Source organism: Homo sapiens, chromosome 1 (assembly GCF_000001405.40).
Source record: "Homo sapiens chromosome 1, GRCh38.p14 Primary Assembly".
NCBI classification, from domain to species: domain Eukaryota; kingdom Metazoa; phylum Chordata; class Mammalia; order Primates; family Hominidae; genus Homo; species Homo sapiens.
In genome coordinates, this window is record NC_000001.11 from 229559620 (window position 1) to 229574893 (window position 15274).

The 15274-nt window shown below is 43.3% G+C and overlaps 1 pseudogene; it reads left to right on the forward strand.

Moving 5' to 3' along the window:
- HMGN2P19 (high mobility group nucleosomal binding domain 2 pseudogene 19) lies at positions 10797-11376 on the forward strand (annotated as a pseudogene).
- Positions 11377-15274: the final 3898 nt, after the last annotated feature.

The following is a 15274-nucleotide window of genomic DNA, read 5'->3' on the forward strand; positions in this document are numbered from 1 at the left end:
GTGCTGGGATTGCAGGCGTGAGCCACCGTGCCCGGCCTGAGATCGTTTCTTAACTAGAGCAGAAATTTGAAGACAGGCGTGGTCGAGGCATTCCCGCTGTTCGAAGTGGAAAACACTAATCAGAAGGCAATGCATCTTAATACACGTGCATGGAAAGACAGGAGAGAACATTAAAACTCACTGGGACACTTTATGGAGACTTCATGGGGGCGGGGGGGGATATGTACCTGAGGTCCAGTGAGTCGTGGGTAGATTTTTGTAGACTCCTAGGTATTTTTACTGGACCTGGACAGGGTACTGTCAGTTGCAAATTTTATGGGTTCACAAAATAAAAAAACCTCAATAATCAACATAAACATTTTAGTGCAATATTTTTAAAAATCAAAATTAATTTAAAAAATCCGTAATGAACAAAATATAAAAAATTTTGATTGAGTATCCACTCCTGACCTTTCACAATCCTGCCTCTCTTCTCTCGCTCTAATCCCAGCCCTGGAAACTTTATTTACAAAAACTGACAGCAGCTGCCCTTAGTTTGGCAGCTGGAAAATGGGAAAGAGAAAGTAAGAGGAAGGTGAGATTTGGGTTAAAGTTGTCACTTTCTCTTCAACTGGGAGGGTATCAATCCTTGATGTTTCTTTAGTTGGGCTCAAAAAGGAGGTAGCGGCCGGGCGCGGTGGCTCACACCTGTAATCCCAACATTTTGGGAGGCTGAGGCGGGCGAATCACGAGGTCAGGAGTTCGAGACCAGCCTGACCGACGTGGTGAAACCCCGTCCCTACTAAAAATACAAAAATTAGCCAGGTGTGGTGGAGCGTGCCTGTAATCCCAGCTACGCAGGAGGCTGAGGCAGGAGAATTGCTTGAACCCGGGAGGCGGAGGTTGCAGTGAGCTGAGATGGTGCCACACCGCACTCCAGCCTGGGAGACAGAGCAAGACTCCGTCTCAAAAAAAAAAAAGAAAAGAAAAAAAAAGAGGAGGTAGCGGCCAGGCGGTGGCTCACACCTGTAATCCCAACATTCTAGGAGGCCGAGGCGGGCGGATCACTCCAGGTCTGGAGTTTGAGACCAGCCTGGCCAACATGGTGAAACTCCATCCCTACTGAAAATACAAAAATTAGCTGGGCTTGGTGGTGCATGCCTGTAGTCTCAGCTACTTGGGACGCTGAGGGAGCATAATCGGTTGAATCCAGGAGGTGGAGGTTGCAGTGAGCTGAGATCACGTCACTGCACTCCATGCACTCTAGCCTGGGCGACACACCAAGACTGCATCTTTTCAAAACAAAATAAAAACAAAAAAAACACAAAGAGGAGGTAGCAAGATGCACAATGAAAACGATCCCATTTCTTTTCAGAAGTCACCTCATAAAAACTGACTTAAAAATTTTCAATTAAAATAAATTTTGCATGATTTGATTACTGAGACTTTTTAGCACATCTTTAAATTTTGTCCCTAGTAGAGTGCCTTAAGTATATGGTCCTGGTAGGTAAGGAGTGAGGTGGGGGAAGGATCGATAATAGAAAGTGTGGGGTTAAGTCGGGCCTTAAATGTGCCTGTGAAATGAGCAGTAAGCATGTAATCCTCTAAAGTCCAACCTCTTAAACCCAGAGGACATGGAGTCTCGCCTCCCTACCCCCGCCCCCCCACTTTCCTGCCCCCAGGGTGACGACAATTCAAGCTAGTTTCTCATCAGTGCAGAAGTTCTAGAATTGGTGGTGTAGTGTGAAATCAGCTCCACTGATATTTATGACTAAGCATGTTCCTTTTAGCAAATATGTTATTCAGTGACTTCTGAAAAGAAGTAGGATCATGCCTCATCATGCATCCTGCTACCTCTTCTTTGAGCCCAGCTGAAGAAACATCAATGAACGACACTCTCCCAGTTGGAGAGAAAGTGACAATTTTAACCTAGACCTAAGCTTCATCTTTCTCTTACCCACTTTCCAGAAAACCCCTGCTGCTGCAAGGGCCAGGAAATGTCAGACTGGCCTTCCCTTCCTGCCTTCCCTGGCATGGCATCCCACTGCCTTTTTCTGCCATTGCTCTCTAAGGCCTCCAGTCAATAGAAAAATAACTCAAGTGTAGCTGATTAAAAAACAAAACTTGGCCAGGTGTGGTGGCTCACGCCTGTAATCCCAACACTTTGGGAAGCCAAGGTGGGAAGATCATTTGAGGCCAGGAGTTTGAGACCAACCTGTGCAACACTGGGAGACTCCATCTGTACAAAAACTAAAAATGTAAAAATTAGCTGGGTGTGGTGGTGTGTGCCTGTAGTCCCAGATACTTGGGAGGCTAAAGTGGAAGGATTCCCTGAGCCCGGCAGGTCAAAGCTTCAGTGAGCTGTGATTGGGCCACTGCACTCAAGCCTGGGCAACAGAGTGAGACCCTGTATCAAGAAAAAAAAGAAAGCCTGTAATCCCAGCACTTTGGGAGGCTGAGGTGGGTGGATCACCTGAGGTCAGGAGTTCAAGACCAGCCTGGCCAACATGGTGACACTTCATCTCTACTGAAAACACAAAAATTAGCTGTGTGTGGTGGTGGGTGCCTGGAATCCCAGCTACTGGGGAGGCTGAGGCAGGAGAATGGCTTGAACCCAGGAGGCGGAGGTTGCAGTGAGCAGAGATCACACCACTGCACTCCAGCCTGGGCAACAGAGCAAGACTCTGTCTCAAAAAAAAAAAAAGAAAGAAAAGAAAAAAAAAGTCTATAGCTCTTAAAAGTACAATGGGGAATGAATATTAGCAGAAGGATCACCTGGACCTATATTGCCATCACAACAACAACAACAAAAAAGATGACCTACTCTAAATATATATATATATATGTTTATATAACATATACATTTCATATATATATGAATTATTGCTTTGCATTTCTATGACCTTCTCTTCTCACTTGAAAATAAGAATAACTTCACTGCCTCTTTTTTTTTTTTTTTTTTGAGACAGAGTCTCACTTTGTTGCCCAGACTGGAGTGGGCTCACTGCAACCTCCACCTCCCAGGTTCAAGCAATTCTCCTGCCTCAGCCCCCTGAGTAGCTGGGATTACAGGCGCCCACCACCACGCCTGGCTAATTTTGTATTTTTAGTAGAAAAGGGGTTTCACCACATTGGCCAGGCTGGTCTCAAACTCCTGACCTCTGGTAATCCGCCTGCCTCGGCCTCCTAAAGTGCTGGGATTACAGGCATGAGTCACTATGCCCGGCTCTTCACTGCCTCTTTAGAAATTAGGATCAAGTTCCTGGGCCTCTGAAAAAAGCAAAAAAAGAAATAAATAAAGACAAAAAACAAAACAAAAAATGCTCTAAGGTGTGTTTGGAAAAGAATAAAACAAGCCAGTTAGATGTGATTGGATTAATAAAATACCACAGCAAAGCAAGAAAGGGCTGTGTATTAATGCCAAGAGAATAACAAAAGTTTAAGTCCTGCCCACAAGAAAGACACAGAAGGCTCTTGATGGAGGTGTGACTGAACCAAGAGGTAAAATCTGGCCCTCTGAATAGACTCTTAATAGGTTTCGTGGCTAACAGGTATTGAATTCAAAAGGGACTTCTTTTGATGCAAATTGAGAGCTGTTGGGATTACTTCAAGAGCAATTCCACCTGTGGGTGCTTGTCCCTCTCTAAGGGTGGCAAAGGAGGGAGCCCATGTGGACAGCAGGAACGGGTACACGATAGCACAAGAATCAAAACAAAGGCTCTCTGGTCGGAGTTTGTAAGCTGATTAGGGGTGTCATTTGACCCTTATTGGTACATTCTTGTTCTTTCGACTCAAGCCTGCAGCTCATCATGTCAAGGGTAGGGTGTCAGGACTGTGGCTGAAGATGAAGCAAGCAGCTCAGTGAAGCATGCACAGCAAAGGCGTGGAATCCACGTGGGGCAGGAGTGCTTTGTAAATTCCTCTGAAGAGGTTAGGATCGAAGCTTTTGGCAACTCACCTGTACTGTGTGATTACAGTGAATGCTGAGGCTGTAACTTTAACCTCTTAGCACTATGCCTTAGGCAGGTGAGTGCACTGTAGGTAGAAGGCTTCAGCATCTTTTACATTTTACATTTTATATAGCTTTTACATTTCTTTCTCTCACCTTCTCACAAAAGAGCCCAAAGAAAGGTTGATGTGGTTTGAATTCTGTCCCTCCAAATAAGATATGTTGAAGTTCCTAACTCCCCAGGACCTCAGAATGTGACCTTATTTGGAAATCGGGTCATTGCAGATATAATTAGTTCACTTAAGATGAGGTCATATTGGAGCAGAGTGTCCTTATAAGACAGCTATGCAAAGACAGACGCACACAGGGAAAACGCCATGTGATGAGGAAGGCAGAGGTGGAAGTTACACAGCTGCAAGCCAAGGGGAATGCCAGAGATTGCTAGCAAATCACCAGAGGCTACGAAGAGACACAGAAGGACTCCCCTGCAGCCCTGCTGCTAATACCTTAATTTCGCACTTCTAGCCTCCAGAACTGTGAGATATTTTATTTTATTATTATTATTATTATTATTATTATTATTTTTGAGACAGAGTCTCACTTTGTCACCCAGGCTGGAGTACAGTGGTGCCATCTCAGCTCACTGCAACCTCCGCCTCCCAGGTTCAAGCGATTCTCCTGCCTCAGCCTTCTGAGTAGCTGCGATTACAGGCCTGTACCACCATGCCCGGCTAATTTTTGTATTTTTAGTATTTTGTAATTCTGTATTTTTAGTAGAGACCAAGTTTCACCATGTTGGCCAGGCTGGTCTCGAACTCCTGACCTCAGGGGATCCACCTCAACCTCCCAAAGTGCTGGGATTACAGGCCTGAGCTACCCGCTTCTTCATTTAAGACATCCAGTTCCTGGCACTTTGTTATGGCTTACGGCAACCCTAGCAAACTGATACAAAGTCCTGACATCAGTATCTTGAATAATACTGCAGTAGATGTTCAGTATTTGTCTATTTACTCATGTTTGGCCAAAAAAGCAACTGAGTTACTGAGGCTGCTTAAGATAGTCAGTTTGCTGATCATACCTGTTACAATACTTACCTTCATTTTACCGCAAGTATGTTCAACAGCCATCCAGATTTCAGACTACACAAAGAACCTTGCAGGATGTAATGAAATGTAGCTCAGGACTCTTCTACCACAAACAAGACAGTGAGCCTGATTCTATATGTTTTACAATATTTAGATACATAGGGGAGCGGGTGAAAAAAATTAGATACAGTATTTTTTCATATGTTAAGAGTCTGAGGTTGGACTCAGACAAATAGAAAAAGCATCCATACCCTATCACTTGTTTGTGTTTTAAAATTAATATTATTTTTAATTGACAAGTCATAATTGTATACATTTATGGGGTACAATGTGATGTTTTGATAAATGTATACAATGTGGAATGATTTAAAGCAAGCTAATTAACATTTCCTTCACCCCACTTATTTTTGCAGTGAGAAATTTGAAACTTACTCTCTTAGCTATTTGAAGTATACAATACATTATTATAACTATAGTCATCCTGCTGTGCAATAGAGCTCAAAAATTTATTCCTTTCTAAGGGAAACAAATGTATCACCTTTAGAGTATCATACAGAGTAGTTGCACTGCCCTAAACATTCTCCCTGCTCTGCCTATTCACCCTTCCCTTCTTTTTTTTTGTATATATATACACATATATATACACATATGTACATATATACATATATACTTATATACACATATATACATATATACACATATATACATATATATTCATATATATGTGTATATATACATATATATATATATGAATGATGGGGTCTTAGATATAAACCCCCATCTATGTTGCTCAAGCTGGTCTTGAAATACTGAGCTCAAGCGATCCTCTCACCTCGGCCTCCCGAAGTGTTGGGATTACAGGCATGAGGCACCACGCCCAGCCCTTCTTAACCTCTGGCAACCACTAATCTTTCTACTGTCACTATGGTTTTTTCTTTTCCAGAATGTCATACAACCAGAGTCATATAGTCTTATGAGAGTTGCTTCTTTTACTTAGTAATATGCACTTAAGTTACTGCCATGTCTTTGTGTAGTTTGATAACTGATTTTCTTTTTAGCACTGAATACTATTTCATTGTCTGGAGGTACCAGTTTGTTTATCCATTCACCGACTGAAGGACATCTTGGTGGCTTTCAAGTTCTGGCAATTATGAATAAAGCTGCTATAAACATCTTTGTTCAGGTTTTTGTGTGGCCATGAGTTTTCAGCTCATTTGGGTAGATAACATGGAGTGCAGTTACTGGATTGTATGGTTAGTGTGTATTTAATTTTATAAGACACTACCAAACTGTCTTCCAAAGTGTCTGTACCATTTTGGGTTTCCACCAGTAATGAATGAGAGTTCCTTTTGCTCCATATACTCACCGGCATTTGGTGTTGTCAGAATTTTGGATTTGAGTCGTTCTAAAAGGTGTGCCGGCTGGGTACAGTGGCTCATGCACCCTCCCAAAGTGCTGGGAGGCCAAGACAGGTGGATCATCTGATGTCAGGAGTTTGAGACCAGCTTGGCCAACATGGTGAAATCCCGTCTCTACTAAAAATACAAAAAATTAGCTGGGCATTGTGGCAGGCACCTGTAATCCCAGCTACACGGGAGGCTGAGGCAGGAGAATTGCTTGAACCCAGGAGGCAGAGGTTGCAGTAAGCTGAGATAGTGCCATTGCACTCCAGCCTGGGCAACAAGAGTGAAACTCCATCTCAAAATTAAAAAAAAAAAAAAGTGTGCCACTTCTAGGAATTTAAGGTACATTTAAACTCCCACATGTGTAGAATGATAAATATATACAAAGAAACTTTCTGTAATATTGTTGGTAATAGCAAAAGACTGGAAACTACTTTCCAGCATTAGTGCATTAGTTACATAACTTGTAGTATACCCAGGCAATGGAAGACTATGCAATCCTCAGAAAGAACGAGGCAGCTCTACACATGCTCACTTGGTACCATACCCTAACATGTACAATTAAAAAGCAAGGTTCAGGATTGTGTGTACAGCATGCTATATTGCACACACAGGATGAATAGGCAAAGCACATATTACACAAATATGGCTATATTTGTATAAAAATTTAAAAATGTATCAATGTACACATACATGCACTTATACTCATGTGTTCATTGACTGTCTTTGGGAGGATACACCAAGATCTCTGGGGAGAAGTAAATAACTGAAGTATAAGGGTATGTGTTCCTTTGTAGCTTTCAAATTGTATACCATTTATTCAAAAATAAATTAATTTGATTAAAAAAATCAAAAATAATAAAAGATAACCTATATATTACAGAAAAAAGGGAAGAAAAGTGCAAAGATATCAAAGAATTGCTTGAAAAATACAAAGATTCCTAAATGCCAAGAGAAAATTTAAAAATAGCAAAGAAAACACATCACATGGGTGAAAACAAAGCAAATAATCATGTACACAGTAAAATTTTAACAAAAAATAAATAAATGGGAATGGGTTTAACCTATGAAATAAAAATATTTCCAATTTGGCTACAAAACAAGATCAACTATATTCTGTATGTAAGAAAAAGGATAAAAATACAGGAATGGGGAAATGAAAACAAGTGCTGTGGTATTTTTTTTTTGGGGTGGGGGATGTGGGGAACAGGGTCTCACTTTGTTATCCAGGCTGGAGGGCAATTGTGCAATGATGGCTCACTGCAGCCTCAACCTCCCAAGCTCACGTGATCTTCCTGCCTCAGCCTCCCAAGTAGCTGGGACTATAGGCACGCACAACTATGCCTGGCTACGGTTAGTTTTTGTATTTTTTTGTAGAGACGAGGTTTCGCCATGTTGCCCAGGCTGGTCTCGAACTCCTGGGCTCAAGTGATCCACCTTCCTCGGCCTCTCAAAGTGCTGGGATTACAGACATGAGCCATCATGCCCAGACTCTGCTGTGGTCTTGATATTAACGTAGAACTTAAGCCAAAATGCATCAAATGTGAAGAAGTACATGTTTTAAAGTAAAAGCCACAATTACCAACAATGAGTACCTTTGGAAGGAAAAATAACAGGAAATGCAAGGAGAAACGGAAGCACGCCAATGACAGCATGCTTTAACACGTCACTCTTAGAAGACAGACCAAGGTCGACTAAACGTGAGTGAGGACATACAAAATCTAAACAGCAAAATCAATAAGGTAGAGTTTATGGATATATATATTTAATTTTATACCCCAATAATAGAGATTCAAGTGCTAATAGAATGATCACAAAAAATGATCATGTATTATGTCACTAAAAAGCATAAGTTTCATAACAACACACTCTGATTACAATGCAATATAATTCAGAATTAATAAGAAATCAGAAGAGCACACTTAACAGCAGAATTTTTTAAAAAAATACATTTCTATTAAACAACTCTTGAAAGGGAAATTATGAATAAAAATTACAGAATTTAAATAAATAAATTATAATTTAAATACAAGTTGAGCATCCCTAATCCAAAAATTTTAAATCTGGGCTAGGCATGGTGGCTTGCACCTGTAATCCTAGCACCTTGGGAGGCTGAGGTGGGAGGATCATCTGAGGTCAGGAGTTCAAGTCCAGCCCAGCCTGGCTAACATGGTGAAACCTCGTTTCTACTAAAAATACAAAAATTAGCTGGGCATGGTGGCAGATGCCTGTAATCCCAGCTACTTGGGAGGCTGAGGCAGGAGAATTGCTTGAACCGGGGAGACGAAGCACAGGAACCCGAGAGGCAGAGGTTGCAGTGAGCCGAGATTGGGGTCACTGCACTCCGGCCTGGGGGACAGAGCAAGACTCCATCGCAAAATAATAATAATAATAATAATAATAATAATAATAATAATAATAATAAATAAAATAAAAGTTGAAATGCTCCCATATTCAAAACTTTTTGAGCACCAACATGAAGCCACAAGTTACCCTGAACATATTTTTTTTACTTTTTTTTTTTTTTTGAGACAGAGTCTTGCTCTGTCGCCCAGGCTGGAGTGCAGTGGTGCAATCTCAGCTCACTGCAACCTCTGCCTCCAGGGTCAAGCAATTATCATGCCTCAGCCTCCTGAGTAGCTGGGATTACAGCCACGTGCCACCACACCAGACTAATTTTTTGTTGTTGTTGTTTGTTTTGAGACAGGGTCTAGCTCTGTTGCCCGGGCTGGAGGGCTGGAGTGCAGTGGCACAATCTTGGCTCACTGCAACCTCTGCCTCCTGGGTTGAAACAATTCTCCTGCCGCAGCCTCCCAAGTAGCTGGGACTACAGGCATCTGCTACCATGCCCGGCTGACTTTTGTGGGGTTTTTTTTTTCAGTAGAGATGGGGTTTCACCATGTTGGCCAGGCTGGTCTCGAACTCATGACCTCAAGTGATCTGCCCACCTCAGCCTCCCAAAGTGCTGGGATTATAGGCATGAGCCGCCGCACCTGGCCCGGACTAATTTTTTTTTGTAATTTTAGTAGAGACAGGGTTTTATCATGTTGGCCAGGCTGGTCTCGAACTCCCGACCTCAGGTGATGTGCCTGCCTCGGCCCCTCAGAGTGCTGGGGTTATAGGCATGAGCCACGGCACCCGGCCTCTTTTACTGTATTAATAGTATCTTAGAGTACTTTTTTTTTTTTTTTAACTGTTTTTAGCTACTTACGTGTGAATAAGTATAAGAAAATGATTGCTATCGGTAGCATATATATTCAGTGTCATTTACATTCAGAATGATGGTAATGCTGAACAACCACAGGTGGTCCAATAAATGAATTTCATATTTAGACCTGGGTCCCATCCCCATGATATCTCATTATTTATATGCAAATATTCCAAAATCCAAAAATATCCAAAATTTGAAACACTTCAGGTTCCAAGCATTTTGGTTAAGGGCTACTCAACCTGTACTACATATATGAATCTGTAGGATGCATTTAAAGTAGTCATCAGAAGAATAGCAATAGCCTTAAACATTCATGTAAATAGAAGTAAAACAGGCCGGGCACTGTGGCTCACATCTGTAATCCCAGCACTTTGGGAGGCCAATGCAGGCCGACTGCTTGAGCCCAGGAATTCGAGACCAGCCTGGGCAACATAGTGAGACACCTATCTCTTTAATTTAATTTTATTTAATTATTTATTTATTTATTTATTTATTTTTTTGAGACGGAGTCTCGCTCTGCCGCCCAGGCTGGAGTGCAGTGGCGCGATCTCGGCTCACTGCAAGCTCCGCCTCCCGGGTTCACGCCATTCTCCTGCCTCAGCCTCCCCAGTAGCTGAGACTACAGGCGCCCGCCACCACGCCCGGCTAATTTTTTGTATTTTTAGTAGAGACGGGGTTTCACCGTGTTAGCCAGGATGGTCTCGATCTCCTGATCTCGTGATCCACCCGCCTTGGCCTCGAGAGGGGTCTCTATCACCCAGGCTGGAGTGCAGTGGCACGATCTCGGCTCACTGCAGCCTCCGCCTCCCAGGTTCAAGCAATTCTCCCACCTCAGCCTCCCGACTAGCTGGGATTACAGGGGCATGCCACCACGGGGTTACAGGGGCATGCTACCACGCCCGGCTAATTTTTGTATTTTTAGTAGAGATGAGGGTTCACCATATTGGCCAGGCTGGTCTCGAACTCCTTACCTCAGGTGATCCACCGGCGTCAGTCTCCCAAAGTGTTGCTATTACAGGCGTAAACCACCGCACCCAGCCGTCTTTTTTTAAATTTTAAATTAAAAAAACATATAACAATTTTTAAAAAGAAAACAATAAAAATTAATGAATTGTATTCTCAACACAAATAGCTAGAAAAATAACCAAAAAGTAAATCAAAAGAAAGCACAATGTGAAGAAAAAGAGGCGAGAACGACCCCCGAACCAACCAAAGCCCGCGCGCCGCTGCATCCGGCGCCCACGCCCACGTCCCACTGCCGTCGCCACCGCCGCCGAGATCATTTCCAAGAGAAAGGCTGAAGGGGATACTAAAGGAGGAGATAAAGCCCAGGTGAAGGACGAACCACAGAATAGATCCGCGAGGTTGTCTGCTAAACCTGCTCCTCCAAAACCAGAGCCCAAGCCTAAAAAGGCCCCTGCGTAGAATAGAGAGACAGTACCCAAAGGGAAAAAGGGAAAAGCTGTTGCTGGCAAGGAGGGGAATAACCCTGCAGAAAATGGAGATGCCAAAACAGACCAGGCACAGAAAGCTGAAGGTGCTGGAGATGCCAAGTAAAGTGTGTGCATTTTTGATAACCGTGTACTTCTGGTGACTGTACAGTTTGAAATACTATTTCTATCAAGTTTTATAAAAATGCAGAATTTTGTGTTAATTTCTTCTTATTATTTTTTAAGCTATGTTGTTAGCACACAGAACACTTCATTGTTGTTTTGTTGGGGAGGGGCATATGTCACTAATAGAATGTCTCCGAAGCTGGATTGATGTGGGGAAAACACCTCTCCCTTCTAGTTTTGAGAGACTTCCTCTTGGCTCCCAGGAGGAGGGATTCCTGGACTTTGACACACATGGCCACCTTGGCACAAAAGCCTTGTGGTATGGAAAAACAAATACGTCCTTATGTCCTCTTCTCCCTTTCCATCTTTCAGCATACACTTAACTCCCTTAAGCCCAGACATCTGTTAGGACCTACCCCCAGTCATTGGTTACCAGTGTGTCAGGCAACCTGGACTTTCCAGTGATGCCACTGAGGTGGCACCTGTCAAAAGAGCAGTGGTTCCATTTCTAGACTGTGGGTCTTCAGAAAAATTCTGCCATTGTCATTTCACTTCCTGAAAGTTAGGGTTGGCTTGTGAAAAGTTGTTAAACAACAGGCTAAACATGAAATGTCAACCCTCACTCTAAACTTTCCCTGTTCAGAACATCAGATGAAGACTTCACTGGGTTTTATAGTGGCTTTCTGATTTTTGGTAGGCCATTGAAGAAGGGAGTTTGAAAGTTGTTGTATACTGTTAACGATTGTCTGCCCATGTCCTGCCTGAAATATCATGATTGCTTATGGAAAGTATTTTTAATAAAGCTGGATACAGTTTGGCTTGGGAAAAAAAAAGAAAGCACAAGGAAGGGAATAATGAAATAAAAGCAGAAACTAATGAGATGGAGAATAGAGAAATAGCAGACAAAATACGGTTTAAACAAAATACTGTTTTTTGGGAAATAAAAACAACAAAGCATTCAAACCATTGACTTAATTAATAAAAAAAGGAAGAAAGACCAAATGAAGTCATGTGCTACAAAACAACAACATTCTGGTTAACAATGGATGACATACAGAACAGCGGTCCCATAAGACTGTAACACCATAATTTTTTTTTTTTTTTTGAGACGGAGTATATCTCTGTCGCCTAGGCTGGAGTGCAGTGGTATGATCTCGGCTCACTGCAACCTCTGCCTTCCGGGTTCAAGCAATTCTCCTGCCTCAGCCTCCCGTGTAGCTGAGATTACAGGCACCTATCATACCCGGCTAATTTTTGTGTTTTTAGTAGAGACGGAGTTTCGCCATGTTGGCCAGGCTGGTCTCGAACTCCTGACCTCAGGTGACCCAGCTGCCTCAGCCTCCCAAAGTGCTGGGATTACAGGCATGAGCCACCGTGCCCGGCCATGTAACACAGTATTTTTACGATACTTTTTCTATCTTTAGGTATCTATCTTTAGATACAAAAATACCATTGTGTTAAAATTGCCTACAGCATCCAGTACAGTCACATGCTATACAGGTTTATAGCCTAGGAGCAATAGGCTATACCATATAGCCTAGGTATGTAGTAGGTTATATCATCTAGGTTTGGGTAAGTGCACTCTATGTTTGCACAGTGAAATTGCTTAATGATGCATTTCTCAGAATGTATCCTTGTTGTTAAGTGACACGTGACTTCCTTTTTTGTAGAGTAGGAGTCTCATTATGTTGCCCAGGCTGGTCTCAAACTCCTGGGCTCAAGTGATCCTCCCACCTGGAGCTCCCAAAGTGCTGAGATTACAGGCATGAGGCACTGTGTTCATATCTGTATGATGAGCATATCTTATGAAACCTCATAGAGATTTGCATATCTGCAAAACAAGATACGATGAGGGAGAAATACTTGTTGAGAAGAAATTTATAAAACCGTAAGAGGGCTGGGCCAAGTGGCTCATGCCTATAGTCCTAGAACTTTGGGAGGAGGGCAGATTGCTTGAGCTCAGGAGTTCGAGACCAGCCTGGGCAACATGGCAAAACCCTATCTCTACAAAAAATACAACAAAAATTAGCTGGACCTCGTGGTGTGCACCTGTAGCCCAGGAGGTTGAGGCTGCAGTGAGCCAAGATTGTGCCTCTGCACTCCAGCCTGGGTGACAAAGTGGGACCATTTCCCCCCCCGCAAAAAAGAAAATCAGAGACATTTTGCAAATCACGATGTACATACATTTGAAAATGTTCATGAACTAGATAGTTATATAGGAAATCACAGTTCACCAGAATTTTCTAGTGATAGAAAACGTAAGCAGACCAATTTCTTTTTTTCTTTTCTTTTTTTTTTTTTGAGATGGAGTTTCACTCTTGTTGCCCAGGCTGGAGTGCAGTGGCGCTATCTTGGCTCACTGCAACCTCTGCCTCCCAGGTTCATGCAATTCTCCTGCCTCAGCCTCCCGAATAGCTGGAATTACAGGCACCCGCCCCCATGCCCGGCTAATTTTTGTACTTTTAGTAGAGACGGGGTTTCTCCATGTTGGCCAGGCTGGTCTCAAGCTCCTGACCTCAGGTGATCCGCCCGCCTTGGCCTCCCAAAGTGCTGGCATTAAAGGAGTGAGCCACTGCACCCAGCCTATATGCCTTAGTTCTAAACCAGCATTTTAGAGAGAAACACTAGAGGCATGTTTATTAAAATCAGGAACAGGAAAGGGCACTGAGTGTCCATGAAGATGAGCCCATGTGTGGCATCCATCTCTGGCAATATGGCCAGTCCATTTATGTGCCTATGTTTCCACTCCTGGGGTGGCTGATGACAAGGGCTGGCTAATGTCAACAGGGGGAGTCACTTTGTCTGTGCAGTTATCGGTGCGTCTTCAGAGGTGGATGCTTTCTGCTGAGCACAGCATGTACTTCAGAGATCATCCCTCTTTTTACCTATTCCCATATGCCCACCCAAATGCCTTTTCCCCAGACCTCCATGTCCCTGGCCTTCCAGATTCCTGACACAGGTCACTTGCTGCTTCCCATGAGTCCAGATGTATTTTTTTTATCTTGGGCTGCTTTTCTTTCTACACGACACACATACCCAGGTGCATGCTCAATGTTTTGCCCCTTGGGAAGGGTTCCTCTTTCCACTGTCTTTCAAGGTCACTCCAGAGTGTGGCTACCGTGGCGCTGCCATCCATCTGTGGCTTGAACTTACTCACTGAGCCAACCCAAGATAAGTCAATTTTGCGCATTTTCTTCCTGCTTCAACTGGTTGTATGAGACCCTCCCCTCTTTGCATATGGCCATTAGTGAAAGTTGAGGAAGGGGTACTGGTGTGACCATGGTGGATGACCAAGGTCTGGCTACCTGCTCATGTGGCTTACCTGTACCCTGTTGTCCTGCTTGGGCTTGATCCAGATGTATGATTTCCATTTTATGATAGATTGTCTCTGGGCTTGCCTGATCTTATGATTTGATGAGTTTGTCAGAAGCCAGAAGTCATGACTAGCAGTTCTGGATTCACAGGCACTTGCTCTTCCATGGTCAAACATTCAGTCTCTTCCAGGGCCCAGTAACAGACAGGATATCCTTGTTCCAGGTCCCCCAAGCCTGCACTGTGACTCTCCCTCTAGAGCCTGACATCAACTCCTCACTGAATCTCCTCCACCATTGATTAAACTCCTTACTGAATCTCCTCCACCATTGATACCTCCAGCATCTTTGGGCCTGCTGAACCATATGGTCCAAAGCAAGGCTTCTTTGCCTGCAGCCTGGGCCTTCTGCAGAGCTCCTTCCTGCTCTAGGCCGCATTCAAAGTGAGGAGCGTTCTGTGTCACTTGGCATATGGACTGGAAAAGTAGTCCTGAGTGTGGAACTGTTGCCTCCAGGATCCAGTCAGGCTTCATTCTTTGTGGTGAGGGATGGAAGAAGTAGCAATTTGTCTTTTACTTTGCAGGAGTATCCCAGCATGCCCCTGACCGCCATACTCCTAAATACCATATTGATGAGGCAAGCCCCTAAATCTTTCTATGGTTTATCTCTCACCTTCCAAAGTGGGTCTTACAGAGGGCTTACGGCACGCCTCCAGCATGTTTGCCACTTCTTGCTCATACTGCTGGGATCAGCATGATGTCATCATTTTAATATACCAAT